The sequence below is a fragment of the Homo sapiens genome, chromosome 12 (genome assembly GCF_000001405.40).
Source record: "Homo sapiens chromosome 12, GRCh38.p14 Primary Assembly".
Taxonomy (NCBI): domain Eukaryota; kingdom Metazoa; phylum Chordata; class Mammalia; order Primates; family Hominidae; genus Homo; species Homo sapiens.
The window spans coordinates 106370587-106392040 of record NC_000012.12 but is presented as its reverse complement, the minus strand read 5'-3'; the positions used below and the strand labels follow the sequence as shown (position 1 = coordinate 106392040).

Here is a 21454-nt window from a genome sequence, read left to right as displayed (position 1 = left end):
TTGCCTGGAATTTTGCCATATCAAGGAACACAGCATAATCTCACTAAATCTCTCCTGGAAGAGTAATAGTCAGCTTCTTAGAAGTGAGGGGAAAAGTTATGTTTGCATTAAAATTCTTCCTTCAGCTGTAGAGAAGACAGAACCAGAGGATAATTGTGTAGTTAGTGTTGATGCCCTAGTTCCCAGTTCTCCACACAAAAAAGAAAGGAAGGGAAAATCAAATCCCAAGTTCCAATGCAGAAAATCAAGGACATTATCCTCAGTACAACAGGGGCATCTATCTAAAAGTCCAGAGATCTGAGGTGTTTGTGCTAATATAATACCAACAACACACACAGACATTACAACTACTACTGTCATGCAACCTCTTCGCCTTTGTTTTCTCATTTGCATAAATGAAAAACCAGATCCCTTCCAGCTCAAAATGCTATGATTCTACATTTGACCTTCAGTGGTCTGCATTCTAAAAATTTGATTTGGATACTTTAGGATCCGATGTAAACTTATAGAAAGTTTTGAAGATTTGGGGGAAATCTGAATAGATCCCATGTCCCTTTTAGGCCAACATTGGTGGTTTTAAAAACCTTCATAGATTCTTTGATACTCCCTTCAAAAGGTGGAGACTAATTCCCCACCCCAAGTGCAGGCTAAGCTCAATGCCTCACCTCTATAGAAAAAAATGTGAAGGTGGCACGTATGATGACTTTGAAGGACTGGTCATAAAAGGCACTATAGCTGCCTGCTTGCTCTGTCTGAAAGTGCTCTCTCTGGGGGAAGATAGCTACCATGTCATGGAAACACACAAGCAGTCTGTGGCAAGGTCCGGTGGTGAGAAACTATGTCCTCTTACCAACAGCCAATGAGCACCTGCAGTTTTCTGTCAACTGCCATGGGGGTGAGTTATCCTGGAAGTAGATTCTCCAGGCTGCTTCAGTTCAGCCTTCAGATAACTGCAGCCCTGGCTGATTATCTTTTCTTTTGTTCTCTTTGGTGAAGCGGTCTTGCTTATGTTGCCCTGGCTGAAGGCAGTGGGTATTCACAGGTGCAATCATAGTGCTCTACAGCCTCAGGCTCCTGGGCTTAAGTGAACCTCCCACCTCAGCCTCCTGAGTAACTGGGACTACAGGCACATGCTACTATGCTCAGCTTGTGGCTGACATCCTGGCACATGAAAGACTCTGAGCCAGAACCACCCAGCTAAGCAAGTCTTAAATTCCCAATGAATAGAAGCTATGCTATAATCTGTTACACAGCACAGATAACTAATATACCAACTTTTGGAATTAAATTCACTATCTGAATTTAAAACAATTTATTTTGTTCTTTTTTTTTTTTTTGCAAACAAGTTCTCAGGATGCAAGACCTTTTTCTATAGTTTTAGCAGTCTTTTTTTTTAACCTCCAATTTGATATGGAAACATTTATCAAATGGATACTAGAAATAAGCTCCACTATTTAAAAATTACACGATTTCATTAAAACACTAAGCCTTTCATGGATTAAAAGATAGCAATCCTAAAAAAAATTACCAGTTCTAATTTTTAAACAAACAAAACTAGATTATTCTTAGCTCAAGCACACTGAGTTGCATTTACTTTGATGGTGATGGCACATATGTAAAATCATCTACACTTTCTCTTTGGTCTGCAAGTAGCCAGTCACAAATATTAGAACAGAATTCCTTTCTTTGGTGTTTAAATAATACAGGTTAATTTTCCCTAATCTGAAAATCCAAAATGCTCCAAAATATGAAACTTAAAAAAAAACTGGGGGGGGAGAGAGTTTTTCTGCTTGTTTTTTTGTTTTGCTTTTTTTTTTTTTTCAGAGACAGAGTCTTACTCTGTTGCCCAGGCTGGAGTACAGTGGTGCAATCTCAACTCAGTGCAACCTCTGCCTCCCGGATTCAAGTGATTCTCTTGCCTCGGCCTCCCAAGTAGCTGGGACTACAGGCATCTGCCACCATGCCCAGCTAATATTTTGTATTTAGTACAGATGGGGTTTTGCCATGTTGGCCAGGCTGGTCTCAAATTCCTGGCTGCAAGTGATCCACCCACCTCAGTCTCCCAAAGTGCTGGGATTACAGGTGTAAGTCACCACGCCTGGCCAAAGCCACCGCGCCCAGCCAACTTTTTTAAGAGACAGGGTCTCACTATGTTGCCCAGACCGGGGTGCAGAGGCCATTCACAGTTGCAACTGCAGTGCATACTATAGCCTCAAATTCTTGGGCTCAAGCAATCTTCCTACCTTACCCTCTAAAGTAGCTGGCACTATAGGCACAGGCGACCATGACCAGCTTTCAGAATCTGAAACCTTCTGAGTACAGACATGACACTCAGAGGAAATACTCATTAGAGCATTTCAGATTTTGGATTTCTGGATTTGAGATGCTCAACCATAAGGATAAGGACAATGCCAATATTCCAAAATTAAAAAAAAAAAACCTGAAATCCTAAACACTGCTGGTCCCAAGCATTTCAGATAAGGGATGCTCAACCTGTAACGAAAAAGTCTTTCCTCATTTGACGTATGGATTGCCACTTCAAGTTGTCTTGATGCTGAATCTAAGTGGTGATTTCATAACTGCATAAAATTCTCAAATGTCCTAACAGGGATCTAAACAGACTGCTTAGGCCTTCCAAATATTTCTAAGCTATGAAGCAAAGATATGCCAAGCACATGGTAAATGACACCATATGTGCAAAAAGCATGATTACTGCCAAAGCTTTGCTCTAAAAGGACTAAACTCTTCCTATATCAAGTCACTAAATACAGGGGCGATAACTCAGTCAAGTTATCATCAAAGCACACCAGCTGCAAAGACCGAACTGACTTTATGACTATTTAGCCTTCAGTAGTCACAGCTACAAATAAATGACATATTGCTATGGAAACGACAGCAAAATGCTCAACTATTTTACTTTAAAGACATAATTTAGACATCTGAAAACTGGCTTTATATGGACCTCTTTGTACTCCAGATATCTGAAATCATTTTTTCTAATAAGTCAAAAGTAAATCCTACATAATAAACTTATGAAAAAATAGCAGAGATAATACATTTCAGCAGGTCCCCTACACTCTAGCAATCAGCAATACCATTGAACAAAAATAAGGGGAGATGCACTATAAAAAGTGGCATGAGGTCTTTTTAGATATCTACAAAGCGTGACTTTTAAAGACAAAAAGAATACTAATGAGCAAAAGAGACTGATACACACACTAATGGTGACAGGTTGAAATATATTGTGTGAAGGCAGGAAAGGAAATAACTTCTTAAAATATCTAATATTCAGAAATCTCTAATGTTTCTTTAAAGTAGACCAAAATCAATCTATTATTACTCACAGTAGTCCCAGCAGGTAATAAGAGAACTGTGATAGCCCTCTCTAACTTTGTAACTGTTTCTCTTTAAAGAAGATAAATTTCAGCCAGGCACATTGGCTCACGCCTGTAATCCCAGCACTTTGGGAGGCTAAGGTGGGCAGATCACCAGGTCAGGAGATCAAGACCATCCTGGCCAACATGGAGAAACCCCGTCTCTACTAAAGATACAAAAATTAGCTGGGCGTGGTGGTGCATGCCTGTAATCCCAGCTACTTGGGAGGCTGAGGCAGAAGAATCGCTTGAACCAGGGAGTTGGAGGTTGCAGTGGGCTGAGATCGCGCCACTGCACTCTAGCCTGGTGACAGAGCAAGACTCCATCTCAAAAAAAAAAAAGATAAATTTCCATATAAGTTAGTTTCCAGGAAACACTGCCCAGCACCCTTGAAATTTGATTCTCTTTTCCACAAAAACTTTCAAACTACAGATGCCATCATAAGTGCAGGCAGCATACTTGGGAATACAAAATGTAAAGTGGGGAAGATTCATGGGCAGGAGAACCTTTGTAGTGATCCAAGTCCATAAATAAGGCTGATCTATGTCTTAAAAGCTTTCTCCATCATATTCAGACTCAGCATGGAATCTGGAAACCCTGCTGTTCCTGTCACTTTCAGCCAATTGTTGGTTATAATCAACAACCATCAAGTCCTAATGACTGTCAAGGTCTGTGTTAGGGCCACACAACACTCAAAGAGAAATGATGTGTCTTTTCTGGTATCCCCATTTGTTTTCCCGGGTTTCTGACCATAAAGACAACTAAGGAAAGAAAAAGGGCACTCCCCTTCCAGGACTTTTCAAAAAATACATGATCCTGTTTGCTCTTCACAGCAACTCTCTTAAAATTCTCACCTTAATAGATGAGTTATTCAAGACTTAAAGAGACTGGAAAATATGCCCAAGGTCACATAACTAATAAGTGCAGATGCTGGGATTCAACCTAAATCTGTCTGATTCTAAGATATCCAATACTCTATGCTGCCTCCCAGATGGAAAAGTCTAAATAGTGGTTATCAAACAAATTCCCATCAATTTATTAAAACATACCTATTGTGGGAGACCAATAAAAGTGACCATTTATGACCAAAATATTTAGCTCATTTATCCAAACTAAAAATTTTAAAATATTTACTGATTAGAATGTAGTGGATACGTTTCAGGAAAATAATTGGCAACATGCACCAAGTTTAAAAAAAAAGAAATTCCACTCTCAGGAATAAAGTCTTACAAAACAATCAGCAATGTGCACAAACAGGTATGTATAACAGTCATCCTAGGGTTGTGTTTAAGAGTAAAGCCTTGGGGAAAAAAATGACGCCTAAATGCCCCACTAGAGGAAAGTGGTTAAGTAAATTCCACCACAAGTATGCAACTTCTACACAACAGTCACTAAAAATAATGATGCAGATTCATAACAGGGAAAGCTATTCATAATGCACTGTTAAGTGAAAAAAATAAAAATGTATGTGTATATCACAAAAGCACAGGAAAACTGTCTGGAAAAATATATCCAAAAATGTAGATATACTTTTAAGTGGCTTTCTAAATTTAAATAATGCAAGGAATGTTTTTATAATCAGAAAGGGAGAAGTCTGAAACCACAACTACTGGTTACATAAATATGCATATTGTTAATTTACAGCCCTATTCTAAAAAGGATTTAAGTCAGCTGTGTGTATGTAAGCATATGCGTGTATAGATGTACAATATAAACATTAAACAAACTTGACAGAAGAAACTTTTTTCTTTTTTTTTTTGAGACAGAGTCTTGCTCTGTTGCCCAGGCTGCAGTGCAGTGGTGTGATCTTGGCTCACTGCATGCTCCGGCTTCCAGGTTCACGCCATTCTCCTGCCTCAGCCTCCTGAGTAGCTGGGACTACAGGCACCTGCCACCATGCCCAGCTAATTTTTTGTATTTTTAGTAAAGACGGGGTTTCACCGTGTTAGCCAGGGTGGTCTCCATCTCCTGACCTCGTGATCCGCCCACCTCGGCCTCCCAAAGTGCTGGGATTACAGGTGTGAGCCACCACGCCCAGCAAAACTGTCTTATTAAACTCATCACCGGGCCAAAAAACAGTACTTAATGTTTTCTGATTTTAATGTATGCATGAGTCTAGTCATGCATTTTCCATGAGTGATAGAAGATTATATGCATTATAATTAATTTATAATTTCTGGTAGAAAGAAAGAGTACTATGCATCTTCAAGTGTCTATAAAACTTTCTAAAAAAAAAAGTCCTTTGGATGCATGGGAACATACTGCCCTCTGCTGGAGATGTAATTCTACACCATTAGATAAAGTTTTCTTTTTTTTTTTTTTTGAGACGGAGTCTCCCTCTGTCACCCAGGCTGGAGTGCAGTGGTGCGATTTCGCCTCACTGCAACCTCTGCCTCCTGGGTTCAAGCAGTTCTCCTGCCTGAGCCTCCCAAGTAGCTGGGGCAGGCGTGAGCCACCATGCCCGGCTAGTTTTTGTATTTTTAGCAGAGATGGCTTCTCACCATGTTAGCCAGGCTGGTCTCAAACTCCTGACCTCAAGTGATCCACCCACCTTGGCCTCCCAAAGCGATGGGATTATAGGCATGAGCCACCGCGCCCAGCCCCGTTAGATAAAATTTTCTTTATTCATCAGTATGTACATAAAACACTGCATTGGGCACTGTGGGATCCCTACAAGAAAAGTCAAAATTACTTTTGTGCTTAAAAAATGCAAACCGTAAAGAAAGAAAAGAAAAAGTATATTTAAGAATTCTTCCTGGGCCCTCTGATATCATGGTACTGCTACTAAGACTATCATCATCATCATCCTGAAAAGAAAATGGCTCCATCTCATTTATAGAACTCAAAAGCACATTAGGCTACAATAAACAGTTTAAAATTTCCTAAAAGTTTCTTCACACAATTGCATTTAGAACATGGATGCTTCCTGAGTTAAAGAACCTGACTTGTCAATGTCCATTCAATACTTATGAATACTCTTACCAATACTCTCTCCCTAAATCCCAATCACCAGACTGATTTGAGGGCTACTTTCCTCCCTGACTCCTATACTCTGTCACCTGATTACAACTTTAACAGTAAAGACTCATTCCCTTCTTTCTTACTCCTCTGAGGCTTATACCCAAAATGCTTTTCCGTTTCAACGAACTTAGTTCAGCCTCAGAGGATCTCTTCCTTTGTTTTTTTTCTAATTTTGACTCAAAAATTATTTCCACTATCATAACTATTGAAACTGAATAAATACTATAAATTTCTAAAATTATCTGAAGCATCCAGTATCTCCTCAAATAATCTGAGCTCTTCATTTCAACTAAACTGGTTATCAAGATTCATTTTATACCTATATACAATCGGTTATCATTATCCAAGGTAGTTATGTTCTATAAAGTTGCTGAATTATACCAAATACTGAATAGTGAATACTGAACCATTGCTCCAGGAAAAATATAGGGCTAGGTTCCTGTGAGCCTATGGTCACAACATTTTCCTCAACTAATCAATACAGAACGTTATTTTCTGTGTGTTTCTTTTAAAAGATATTTAAGGCCAGGCGCTGTGGCTTACACCTAATCCCAGCACTTTGGGAGGCCAAGGCGGGAGGATCACACGGTCAAGAGTTCGAGACCAGCCTAGCCAACATGGTGAAACCCCATCTCTACCAAAAATACAAAAATTAGCTGGGCGTGGTGGAGGGCGCCTGAAATCGCAGCTACTTGGGAGGCTGAGGCAGGAGAATAGCTTGAAACTGGACGGGAAGTTGCATTAAGCTGAGATCACGCCATTCCACTCCAGCCTGGGTGAAAGAGCGAAACGCCATCTCAAAAAAAAAAAAAAAGACATTTAATATATATCGATTAGTTAACTTTGAAGTTAGCCAACAGCACTATAACTCATGCCTGAACAAAGCTTATCAAGCTTATCTAACACATATTTTCTCCAGAAGGCACATCACAGCCTGTTTGCCCTTTGGAACACCTCGACAGCACTTTAGCATTATACTAGGGGGCCATCTTATACTGCAATCAACAAAGCACAAAAATACAAAAAATACGGCACTAAATAGACTGCAAAACAGACACTCGATTACAGCATGAGGGCTGAAACAAGAAGGCAGAGTGTTGCCTTGTTCAATCTCAGCTGGGAATATGTGCGCTGGGTGATTCTAAGTTTTTACCACTCTGTGTCAGTGCATATCTGTGAATAACCACAAAAGCACCACAAGTATTGATTTTGGGGTTATGTATAAATTTTAGCAAGTAAGTGAATTCACAAATAAGGAATTTGCAAATACTGAGGATCAACTAACTGTATCACATAATGCCAACTATTTTTTTATTTTGCTTGATAACTAATACGACAATTTAACTGTTCACTGAATGTGTATAGTATTTACATCTTAGAACAGGTTAAATGGGCTGCTATGTAACTACAGGTACATATCATTTTTATCATGCTTTGCTTTATTGGGCTTTGTAGATATTGTGTTTTTTCCAAATTTAAGGTTTGTCCCTGCTTCCAGATTGACCCTGCTTCAGGCAAATCTATTGGTGTCATTTTTCCAAGAGCATGTGCTTACTTCATGTCTCTGTGTCACACTTTGGTAATTCTTGCAATATTTCAAACTTTTTCACTGTTATGGGGACCTGTGATCAATGATCTTTTTTTTTTTCTCTCTCTTTTTTTTTTTTGAGATGGAGTCTCACTCTGTTGCCTAGGCTGGAGTGCAGTGGTGCAATCTCGGCTCACCGCAACCTCCACCTCCCGGGTTCAAGCGATTCTTCTGCCTCAGCCTCCCAAGTAGCTGAGATTACAGATGTGCGCCACCACACCCGGCTAATTTTTGTATTTTTAGTACAGATGGGATTTCACCATGTTGGTCAGGCTGGTCTCGAACTCCTGACCTCAAATGATCCCTGCCTCAGCCTCCCAAAGTGCTGGGATTATAGGCGTGAGCTATTGCGCCCGGCCAATCAGTGTTCTTTGACGTTACTATTTTAACTGTTTTGGGGTGCCACAAACCGTGCTCGTAAGAGATGAAAAATTTAATCTATAAATGTGTGTGTTGTGACAGCTCCACCAACTAGCTATTCCCCCATCTGTCTCCCTTCTCCTTGAGCCTCCTTATTCCTTGAGACACAACAATAGTGAAATTAGGTCAATTAATAACCCAAGAATGGCTTCTTAAGTGTGCAAGTAAAAAAAAGGGTTGCATGTCTGTCACCGTAAATCAAAAGCTAGAAATGATTAAGCTTAGAAAGGAAGGCGTGTCAAAAGCTGAGACAGGCCAAAAGCTAGGCCTCCTGCACCAAGTTGTGCACACAAAGGAAAAGTTCTTGAAGGAAATCACAAGTGCTATTCCAGTGAACATATACATGATAAGAAAGTGAAACAGGCTTATTGCTGATATGGAGATGGTTTTAGTGGTCTGGATAGAAGAGCAAACCAGCCACAACAACATTCCCTTAAGTCAAAGCATAATCCAGAGTAAGGGCCTAACTCTCTTCAATTCTACGAAGGCTGAGAGAGGTGAGGAAGAGGCAGAAGAAAAGTTGGAAACTAGCAGAGGTTGGTTCATGAGATTTATGGAAAGAAGCCATCTCCATAACATAAAAGTGCAAGGTGAAGCAACAAGTGCTGATGGAGAAGCTGCAGCAAGTTTTTCAGAAGATCTGGCTAAGATCACTGATGAAGGTGTCTATACTAAACAACCGATTTTCAATGTAGATGCAACAGCCTTCTATTGAAAGAACATGCCATCTAGGACTTTGACAGCTGGAGAAGTCAATGCCTGGCTTCAAAGCTTCAAAGGACAGGCTGATTTTCTTGTGAGGGTCTAGAAAAAGTTCAAGTCAGTGCTCATTTAACATTCCGAAAATCGTAAGGCCCTTAAGAATTATGCTATATCTACTCTGCATGTGCCCTACCAATGAAACAACAAAGTCTGGATGGCAGCACATCAGTTGACAGTATAGTTTACTGAATATTTTATGTCTACTGTTGAGAACTACTGCTAAGAAAAAAGATCCTTTAAAAACATTACTACTCATTGATAATGAACTGAGTCACCAAGAGTTCTGATGGAGATGTACAAGGAGATTAATGTTTTTGTGCTTGCTAACACAACATCCATTCTGCAGCCCATGAATAAAGAAGTAATTTCAACTTTCAAGTCTTATGGCTATAGCTGCCATGATAGTGATTCCTTTGATGGATCTGGACAAAATAAACTGGAAACCTTCTACAAAGGATTCACTCTTTTCTAGATGCCAATAAGAATATCTGTGATTCCCTTGAATACAAGAGACCCTAATAGTTAGGCAGGAATATCATCATTCCTATTCAGCCTGAAGAAGTTATGGAAGATGGAGCTTCATCCTTCTATAAACCTTAGGACTAGGGTTGTCTTATAAAAGGGAAGGGGGAAAATATGTCAGAGGTGTTCGACCCACAGTGACTCCCTCTTGAAGAGGGGCTGGGTAAAATAAGGCTGAGACCTACTGGGCTGCATTCCAAGGAGGTTAAGGCATTCTTAGTCACAGGACGAGATAGGAGGTTGGCACAAGATACAGGTCATAAAGACCTTGCTGATAAAACAGACTGCAGTAAGGAAGCCAGCCAAAACCCACCAAAACCAAGATGGTGATGAGAGTGACCTCTGGTCATCCTCACACTCCTACTAGCGCAGTGACAGTTTACAAGTGCCATGGCAACGTCAGGAAGTTACCCTATATGGTCTAAAAGGAGGAGGGAACTCCCCACCCCTTTCCCAGAAAACTCATGAATAATCCACCCCTTCTTTAGCATATAATCAAGAAATAACCATTAAAATGGGCAACCACCAGCCCTTGGGGCTGCTGTGCCTATGGAGTAGCCATTCTTTTGTTTCTTTACTTTCTTATAAACTTGCTTTCACTTTAAAAAAAAGAATGTTTGTATATCTGTGATTCATGAGAAGAGGTCAAAATACCAACATCAACAAGAGTTTGCAAGAAGCTGATTCCCATCCTCAAGGATGATTTTGAGGGGTTTAAGACTTTAATGAAGAAAGTAGCTGCAGATGTGGTGGGAATAGCAAGAGAACTAGAAGTAGAAGTGGAGCCTGAAGATGTGACTGAATTGGTGTAATCTCATGATATAACTTGAATGGGTGAGGGGTTGCTTCCTAAGGATGAGCAGAAAAAGTGATTTCTTGAAATGGAATCTAATCCTGGTGAAGAGGCTGTATACATTGTTGAAATAACAAAAAAGGATGTAGAATATTATGTAAACTTCATTGATAAAGCAGCAACTGGGTTTAAGACAACTGACTCCAATTTTTGAAAGAAGTTCTACTGTGGGTAAAATGCTATCACTGACTCCAATTTTTGAAAGAAGTTCTACTGTGGGTAAAATGCTATCAAACAACATTGTGTGCTACAGAGAAATCTTTCATGAAGGAAGAGTCAATAGCTGTGGTAAACTTCACTGATGTCTTATTTTAAGAAAATGCCACAGCCACCTTCAGCAACCACCACTCTGATTAGTCAGTAGCCACCAACACTGAGGTAAGACCCTCTACCAGTAAAAAGACTATAACTCACTGAAAGATTATGACTCAGATAATTGTTAGAATTTTTTAGCAATAAAGTATATTTTAATTGAGGCATATATTTTTTATACATAACGCTATTGCACACTTAACAGACTACAGTATAGTATACATATAACTTTTGTATGCACTGGGAAACTAACATATTTGTGTGACTCACTTTACTGTGATATTAGCTTTATTGTGGTGGTCTGGAACAAAACCAGCAATATCTCCGAAGTATGCCTGTATCTGAGAAGACTATACCATTTCAATATTGTTTCTATGGAAAATGTCTTTTGGGTTCTAGGCCAACAATTCACAAATAAGCTGATTTTTTGTTTGGTTTTGAGACTGGGTCTTGCTATGTTGCCCAGGCTGGAGTGCAGTGGCATGATCACGGCTCACTGCAGCCTTGACTTCCTGGGCTTGTGTGATCCTCCCATCTCAGCTACCCAAATAGCTGAAACTATAGGCACATGCCACCACGCTTGGCTAATGTTTTTATTATTTGTAGAGATGAGTTCTCACTATGTTGTCCAGGCTGGAGCAGAGTGGCACAATCTCAGCTCACTGCAACCTTTGCCTCCCAGGCTCAAGCCATCCTCCCACCTCAGCCTCCTGAGTGGCTGGAAGTAGAGATGCACACCACCACACTCAGCTATTTTTTTTTTTTTTTTTTTTTTTGGTAGAGATGGGGTTTCACCATGTTGCACAAGCTGGTCTCAAACTCCTGGGCTCAGGCGATCTGCCCATCTTGGCCTCCCAAAGTGTTGGGATTTCAGGCATGACCCACCACGCCCAGCCAGCTTTCAATTTAAAATACATCATATGACTGACAACTTACATCACAAATCTTTCTATTCCAAGAATTCCTTACCCTCCAAATCTCTAATTACATATGTAAATAAACCAGAGAAAGAATTCTTACAATTTTCAGAAGAGAGCTGCAGCTTTACCTTAAATATGATGACAATGGGTATATCTTCTGACAAAGTATTATGCCTCAAATAAAATCGTCCTTGTTTCACAGCCATATTGGTTCTGCTTTTTTTCTCATGGGTAGAGCTATGAGTAAATACAAGTTGGTTAAACTGCATCCCCACTTAGTTTCAAGCTAGTAACATGCAATAATAGCAATGATCATTAATCAATAAGGGTCAACTGATCAACAACAATCACAAGGTCCTTTCTAATAAGTACTTTAAAAAGACAATTCCTTTCCTGCCCTGCTGCCACTTCAGTGAACATTTAAAAACACTATAAATTTTTCTTTGACTTTGAGATTATGATGGAAGTTCTGTGTGTGAATGAGTGACAATTACTTTCTGACCAACTTCACTTTGACTCTACCTTGAATTACTTTGATCCAGTGTAGAGCATATATACAAGGCCAATTTTATATATGGGCCTTAAACATAATGAGGAAATTAAAAAGAAATGAATTTATATACGAGTTTTTAAACTAGTAATTCAACAAAATATACCCACAGTCTTGGTATATAGTAAAGCCAAAAGAAAGGAATATCCTTCTGTTGGTATCTGTGTTAGTTATAAAATTCCTAATGGATTTCAAAGCATTTTAAAAGCTCTAATCAACCACATTAGTAACACACACAGATTACCTGCTACTACGCATTGTTACCCATGTTACTTACATTAGCTCTAATCTTCTACATAGTCAAACTGAAGTATTGTCTCAAAATCACTTATGAGGAAACCAAGGCTTAGAGAAGCTAACTAACTGCACATTCCAGTGCCTCATAACTAGAAAACAAAGCTTTAGGATTCAAATTCAAATTGCCTTGGCTCCAAAGTTACAGATAGTGGGAAGACATGGATTGTAAAATTAACCGTATCTGGGTTCAAAGGCTATCTACCTCTTACAGTCAAGGTACCCCTGAGCTTAAGGCCTGTTAGTTGTAAAATGGAGATGTTAATAGTACCACTTATCTTGGAGGACTGAGGTGACAAATAATATACCTAGTATTTTGCCTGGCTCCTAGTAAGTACTCCATGAATGACCATTACTGTTAGCTGCCTCTCCATCAGAAAGAAAAGTACAGAAATTCTGAGTTAATCAGTTCGTTGTAGGTTATCAAACAGGAAACTACCGCACTCTCACATCTTATCTATGCCACAAATCTTTCTATTCCCAGAACTCATTAACCTCCATATTTCAAATTACACGTGAAAATAAAAAGAAGTTACAGAAGCCTCGAAAGGGAGACTGTAGTAAAAATGAATACACTGTGAAAGAGGCTGGTCTAGAAAACTAACAATAGGGTGTTAAGTCCATGATACAGGTCATTCAATATTAAGTGTCAAATAGTCCCTGATCATACTGATGCAGGAATACACATGTAAATGGTAAAAGGCTGAAAAGGAGCATAAAAGGCTGAAAAGGAGTGTGAAAAACTGAAGAGTGGTTTTATTTTTTTTTTTTTAAATCTCCTTTCATGCTCTATAAGCTAACATAAAATTCAGCTTAAACAGTGACTTTTCAAACAATGTCTCAGACTCCCATCACTGAAATTTTAAAATCAGTACCCTATGCTTCCAGACTTTCATAATAAATTGAATGCAGATAGCTTAAATATTACAATGCCTGCTTTTAGAGGGTAATAACTGGCTCCCTCTGTATTGAAACATAGCCATTTAGGACTAATGGAATGACCAATATTGCTTAAGGACACCATCTCTGCTTTCCATACCTGGTAACTGAAGCTCCAACAGCCCCTTTTCTATCAGCCTCCACGATGATCCTGTTCTTAGACAGCTGCTCTTGGATAAGAATAACTTTTTCTACTCCTTTAACAATGAAGTAGCCACCTACCCAAAGGAAACAAGAAAAACTTCATCATTTATTCCTCAACCAGTGTTGATTTAGTAATGGCAGGAATCTTGTGAATCAGAGATTACCTTTTCTACTACTGCTTCATGGCACTGGCTAACACTTGATTCAAAGGGGTTGCTGATTTTATTTTTTATTTTATTTTATTTTATTTTTTGAGAAAGGATCTCCCTTTGTCGCCGAGGCTGGAGTGCAGTGGCACAATCATAGCTCACTGCAACCTCGGACTGCTAACCTCAAGTGATTCGCCCGCCCCAGTCTCCCGAGTAGCTAGGACTAGAGGCATGTGCCACCACACGTAGCTAATTTTTAAATTTTTTGTAACAACAGGGTCTCACTATGCTTCTCAGGCTGACTCCCTGTCTTAAGCCATCCTCCCGCCTCAGCCTCTCAGTGCACTGGGATTACAGGCAAGAGCCATTGCGCCCATCTGATATTGTTTTATGGACTGAAGATCAGCACGTGATTTTATACAAATGAGCTACAAGATAAAAAATTTCTTGAGGACAGGAAATGTATCTTATTGGTCTATGAATCACCCGCCCCTGACATATGTAAAAAGTGAATGAAAAAAATAGTTAAATAAATTAGTTGTCAGAGCTCTTAAGTACAAGTGTAACTGACAATTTTCAATATAAGCTCAAATTTACTCTAAGTTTTCTAACAAATCAGTGGTAATGGTAGATTAAGATTAGGTTTCCAAAATAATATTCCATATTCAAAAAAACTCATGCATCATCATGTATTTTTTTTGCACACAATTCAGAGTAGGATAAAGTAATACTTCATTTTATACCTGCAGAATATAAGCAAAAACAATACAACATATTTGACTTATGCAACATTCTGTTATAGTCTAGTAAAGTCACATTCTTCATTAACTTCTTTCCAAAACTTCTGGGATTCTAAAACAATGCAACTTTACAGGAATAAGATTAAAGCAACTATAAGTTCAAATAAATCAATGTGAAATACGAGTTAAAGAACTAAGAGAAACTTTTTGTTAAGTTCTAAGTTTGAAATTTTACAAAAGAAATTGCCTAGAAATAGGTACAAAAATAAAATTTTTAAAAATGTAAACAAAAAAATACTTTCATCTCCCTACTGCTTTACTGCATTTAAAACACCCTGAAGTGTGATACTTGATTTTTTTCAACCAGGCAAGGCCAGTAACTCTGGAAGATTATTCTTGAATTTTTAGGCATACCAAAAGAAACTCGTGGGCAAAGATAGAAAGAAAAGACTGACAAATCATGGCAATAAACAAGAATGTGTCATATTAAAGTCTTAAGCCTGAAATAAAAGAGGAAACAGTATGTCTTTGAGAAATATAGACTAATAGGGCTAGGCGCAGTGGTTCACGCCTGTAATCCCAGCACTTTGGGAGGCCAAGGTGGATGAGTCCAGGAGATCAGCCAGGATGACATAGCAAAACACCATCTCTACTAAAAATACAAAAATGAGCTGGGTATGGTGGCACAAGCCTGTAGTCCCATCTATTTGGGAAGCTGAGGTGGGAGGATTGCTTGAGCCTGGGAGGCAGAGGTTGCAGTGAGCTGAGATCACACCACTGCACTCCAGCTTAGATGACAGAGTGAGACACTATCTCAAAAAAGAAAGAAAGAAATACAGACTAGTAGCATAAAGCTAGAGACAAATTTCTGGGTGTTTTGTGAACAAGTTCATTATAAAGTAGAAAAGCTGGTACTGTTTTTGAGACAAAATGTTAAAACCACAGCAGCAGCAGAATAAAAGAATAAGGAAAGTGGGACAAATCCAAGACTTCACACATACCTGGATCTAAGGGACATTCGTTCAGTTTGGCAAATTCTGCTGGCGTTTTTCCTGTAAGAACACAGTTTGAACTACGTAGCATTATGGGCATTCTGTATAAAATAAAACAAAAGAAAATATCACATGTAGGCTGTCAATGATAAAAGCTGCAAAAAATACAAAACATGCAGTGCACACCACCTCACTAAGGGTCTATCTATGCACCATGTTAGAAAAGGCAGAGAAATAGCAATTACATGGAAGCCAAGCAAAATGAAGTATTTTCTCAGGCACGCTGCTCGTCTAGTACAGATGATAAAAACTCAGGCTGGGTGCAGTGGCTCATGCCTATAATCCCAGCACTTTGGGAGGCCAAGGTGGGTGGATCACATGAGGCCAGGAGTTTGAGAGCAGCCTGGCCAACATGGTGGAACTCCATCTCTACTAAAAATACAAAAAATTAACTGGGTGTGGTGGTGTGTGCCGGTAGTCCCAGCTACTCAGGAGGCTGAGACAGGAGAATCGCTTGAACTTGGAGGTGGAAGCTGCCGTGAGCCAGGATCACACCACTGCACTCCAGAGTGAGGCTCTGTCTCAAAAAACAAAACAAAAAAACAAAAAACTCAAATGTTTGGTTTAAACTTTGCATACAGGCTTTAGTGAGAGTCAGAAATGACAGCAACACTTCCTTCATGGAAGACAAAGTGATTCTCATCAGTTACTTGGCAATAGCACAATGCATCCAAGTGTAAGGAACAAGAGGCTATGAAAACTAACCAGGCAGTCTGGAAAAAGAACTGAGCAAAATGTACTAGAAATGGAAATTTTAAGCACTAACTTAAAAATGTAGAAATAGGTTGGATAATAATAGCTTTGATACTGCTGAAGATATAATTACTGGGCTGGAAAAGACATCTGAAGAAATTACTGAGAATGAATTTCAGAAAGACGTAGAGATGGAAGATATGAAAGAGAGTTTAAGAGTCAGGGAAGGATAGAGAGAGAGCGACTAATCAACACCTAATCAGACTTCTAGATGGCGAAAATACACAGAATAGGTGAGAAGTCCTATTCAAAGAGATAAGAGCCATAAATTTTTAAAGACATATGAAAGCCATAAATCCTCACGGTAACATCTGCACAAGATAAAAAGAAAGCTACACCTAAGCAGATCACAGTCAAGATACTAAACACCAAAATTAGAGATAAGGTTTAAAACCCAGCCAGAAAAAAAGAGAGGCTACCAAAAAGGGAAGGATGACTGGATGCACAATAACTTCACAACAACCAATGACACAGAGCAGTGTGCTCGAAGTGTGTGTCAAGCACACAACCAATGTGCTTGAAGAGAAAATAACTGCCAACCTCGATTTGTGTATTCTGCTACGTATTCACTCAGAATGAGGTCAACATAAAGATATTTTCAGACAAAAACTGAGAGAAGTTACTAATGTACTAATAGGCCCTCACTAAATAAATTTCTAAAAAAAATTCATCTTCAGGAAGACGGAAAATAAACACTAACCAAAAGTCTGACGTGTAAAAATGTATGGTGAGCAAAGAAAATGGAAACTAATGTGTGTGGATATAAACAAATGCGAACTTCATAAGACAATAACAATTTCTAATTTATAGGTGAAAAAAACATGCCAAGGAGGCCAGGTGCGGTGGCTCACGCCTGTAATCCCAGCACTATAGGAGGCCAAGGCAAGTGGATCACAAGGTCAAGGGATCGAGACCATCCTGGTCAACGTGGTGAAACCCCATCTCTACTAAAAATACAAAAAATATTGGCTGGGCGTGGTGGCGTGCGCCTATAGTCCCAGCTACTCAGGAGGCTGGGGCAGGAGAATCACTTGTACCTGGGAGGCGGAGGTTGCAGTGAGCCAAGATCACACCACTGCACTCCAGCCTGGGCAACAGAGCGAGACTCCATCTCAAAAAAAAAAAAAACATGCCACAAATGGTGGCTCATGCCTGCAATTCTCAATGCTTTGGGAGGCCAAGGCGGGTGGATGACTTGAGCCCAGGAGTTCGAGACCAGCGGGGGCAACATGGCGAAACCCCGTCTCTACAAAAAATACAAAAATTAGCCAGGTGTGGTGGTGCACTTATAGTCCCAGTTACCAGGGAGGCTGGAGGTGGGAGGATCACCTGAGCCCAGGAGGTTGAGGCTGCAGTGAGCCATGAGTGTACCATTGCACTCTGGCCTGGGTGACAGAGTGAGACCCTGTCTCAAAAAGACCAAAACAAAACAAGATAGAACAAAAATTTGGTACAACAAAAGCATGTAAGTCAAAGTGATTGATTTGATCCAAGTTAAAGCTTTCTAAGGTCTTTGTTGCCAGGAAGAGAATAAAGGTATTTTTTATTTTCAAACTTTGTTAAGTATGCATTTCAAAATTTCTAAGGTAAACATAAACAATCAGAAATACTGTATATGACTTTTAAATCAGTTGGGGAAGGGTGAGAAAAAAAAAATCTTCCATTATCCAAAAAGAAAAATGGAAAAAAACCTGAAACATGAAAAGCTAGACAGTTTTAAAATATAGAATAAGTTGACAGATATACACTCCAATATATATGCATATATGTATGTATATAAAACAAATAAAAATAAACTACATTCTCAAGACAATTTTTTAAAAAATCTAACCATATGCAGTTTACTTCAACTAAACTCAAAACATAAGGACATTTAAGAGATTTTTTTTTTTTGAGATGGAGTCTCGCTCTGTTGCCCAGGCTGGAGTACAGTGGCACAATCTCGGCTCACTGCAACCTCCGCCTTCCGGGTTCAAGCAATTCTCATGCCTCAGTCTCTCAAGTAGCTGGGATTACAGATATGTACCACCACACCCAGTTAATTTTTGTATTTTTAGTAGAGGTGAGGTTTCACTATGTTGGCCAGGCTGGTCTCGAACTCCCAACCTCAGGTGATCCACCCGCCTCAGCCTCCCAAAGTTCTGGGATTACAGGTGTGAGCCACTGTGCCCAGCCCATATAAAAGATTAAACAGACAATAATTTTTTTAATGATATGCCAGAAATATAACCAAAAGAAAGCAAATGTAGCTATGCTAAGAGCAGACAAAATAAGATTCAAGGCAAAGAATATTATAAGAGATAAAGAAGATAAATGTACAATCATCAAAGGTTCAGTTTACTAGCAAGATTTAACAATTCTAAACTTCTATGCACCTAATATCATAGCTTCAAAAAAGCAAAAATACACAAAACCATAAGGAAAATGGAAAAATCCACCATCATAGTGGGAGATTTTAACATACCTATTGTAGTAATTGATAGAACAAACAAATCAAAAAGCAATGCTGATACAAAACGTCTAAACAACACAATTAACAAGTCTGATCTGAAGGAAATACACAGACAATGGCACAAAACAACTGGAGAATACCTCTTGTTTCCAAATAAACATGAAACATTTATAGAAACAGGTCTCTACAAAGTTCCAAAAATTGACATAAAGCACCAATTGGGAAATCTTAAGTCTTCTAAATAACTCACGTTAAAAGGGAAATCGTAATGGGAAGATAGAAATAAGAATATTCTCATTTTATACCAAGGGAAATGAACATACTGACTAAAGTTATGTAATATGACATGAAGATATAAGAATATTTCAGTTACTACAGTAACCAAAAAGATAATTAAAAACAAGAAGGAAAAATTGGAAGACGAAGGGAGAAGCAAAGTGGGTGACACAGGTAAGCTAAGCCACATCCCGTATATCAGGAGGGAAAAAATAATGTCTACAGTTAATGTATTAAGAAATAGAGGTCAAAGCATCGCATTTAAAGTTATGGATATTGGCCACGCATGGTAGTTCGTGCTTGTAATCTCTGCACTTTGGGAGACCGAGGCGAGTGGATCACATGAGGTCAGGAGTTCATGACCAGCCTGGCCAACGTGGTGAAACCCTGTCCCTACTAAAAATAAAAAAAAAATTAGCCAGGCGTGGTGGCGGGCACCTGTAATCCCAGCTACTCGGGAGGTTGAGGTGGGTGAATCACTTGAACCTGGGGGGCGGAGGTTGCAGTGAGCTGAGATCATGCCACTGTACTCCAGCCTGGGCAACAGAGTGAATTCCATCTCAAAAAAAAAAAAAAAAAAAAAAACACACACACACAAAATAAAGTTATGGATGTAATAACCCCCAGAAAAAAATAACAGAAATAGTTATGAAGTTGGGAATGGGACGAAAGGTGAGGAAGGGGAGAGAAGGAGGGAGGTTACTGTTTTGAATCAAATGTTTTTATGTACTGTTTGATTTCTAACCAAGTACAAATATAATTTGGATTAAACTAAAATCTTTTTACTCCAAAAAATAAATGAGATTATATATGTAATTTAGGTAATGCATAGCACATATAAGCATTCTAATGACTAGAGGTCTTTTTTATGAATGCGGAGCTAACAAACAACATTGCCTATCATAGTATGGCACATAGCAGGTATTCAACAAATGCTAGTTACATGCCCCCTCTTTTTATTTTATTTTATTTTATTATTATTATACTTTAAGTTTTAGGGTACATGTGCACAACGTGCAGGTTAGTTACATATGTATACATGTGCCATGCTGGTGTGCTGCACCCATTAACTCGTCATTTAGCATTAGGTATATCTCCTAAAGCTATCCCACCCCCCTCCCCCAACCCCACAACAGTTCCCAGAGTATGATGTTCCCCTTCGTGTGTCCATGTGTTCTCATTGTTCAATTCCCACCTATGAGTGAGAATATACGGTGTTTGGTTTTTTGTTCTTGCGATAGTTTACTGAGAATGATGATTTCCATTTTCATCCATGTCCCTACAAAGGACATGAACTCATCATTTTTTATGGCTGCATAGTATTCCATGGTGTATATGTGCCACATTTTCTTAATCCAGTCTATCATTGTTGGACATTTGGGTTGGTTCCAAGTCTTTGCTATTGTAAATAGTGCCACAATAAACATACGTGTGCATGTGTCTTTATAGCAGCATGATTTATAGTCCTTTGGGTATATACCCAGTAATGGGATGGCTGGGTCAAATGGTATTTCTAGTTCTAGATCCCTGAGGAATCGCCACACTGACTTCCACAATGATTGAACTAGTTTACAGTCCCACCAACAGAGTAAATGTGTTCCTATTTCTCCACATCCTCTCCAGCACCTGTTGTTTCCTGACTTTTTAATGATTGCCATTCTAACTCATGTGAGATGGTATCTCATTGTGGTTTTGATTTGCATTTCTCTGATAGCCAGTGATGGTGAGCATTTTTTCATGTGTTTTTTGGCTGCATAAATGTCTTCTTTTGAGAAGTGTCTGTTCATGTCCTTCGCCCACTCATGCTCCCTCTTTAAACCAGGATTTAAACCCTCAATCTTATGAATTTATGTTTTCCTCCAGTCTCTCTTGCCTTTCCTTCACAATAGTCAATCTAGTTCATAATTTAGCTATGGTCCAAAATTTAACTGGACACAAGTATGGTCCATATACAAGAAAGAAAGAAGTTCTCACCTTAACACTGATAGGCCAGGCGCGGTGGCTCACGCCTGTAATCCCAGCACTCTGAGAGTCCAAGGCGGGCGGATCACCTGAGGTCAGGAGTTCAAGACTAGCCTGACCAACATGGCAAAACCCCATCTCTACAAAAAATACAAAAATTAGCTGAGTGTGGTGGCACACGCCTATAATCCCAGCTACTCAGGAGGCTGAGGCTAGAGAACTACTTGAACCCGGGAGGCAGAGGTTGCAGTGAGCCAACATCATGCCACTGCACTCCAGCCTGGGTAACAGAGTAAGACTCTGTCTCAAAAAAAAAAAAAAAAAACAATAAAACAAAAAAAACACTGATAAACAGTCCTGCTAAAACCAA

The 21454-nt window shown here is 39.2% G+C and overlaps 1 protein-coding gene across 3 annotated transcripts in view; it reads right to left on the bottom strand.

The window, feature by feature from the left end:
- POLR3B (RNA polymerase III subunit B) overlaps positions 1 to 21454 on the bottom strand; it is a 152451-nt gene that overhangs the window by 118158 nt on the left and 12839 nt on the right. For all 3 annotated transcript variants that reach the window (NM_018082.6, XM_017019621.3, NM_001160708.2), the window contains exons 7-9: positions 15591 to 15682; positions 13657 to 13774; positions 11902 to 12010 (exon numbers count right to left, since the gene is read on the bottom strand). In NM_018082.6, coding sequence (NP_060552.4) covers positions 11902 to 12010; positions 13657 to 13774; positions 15591 to 15682 — 319 coding nt within the window. The remainder of the gene's footprint in view (positions 1 to 11901; positions 12011 to 13656; positions 13775 to 15590; positions 15683 to 21454) is intronic.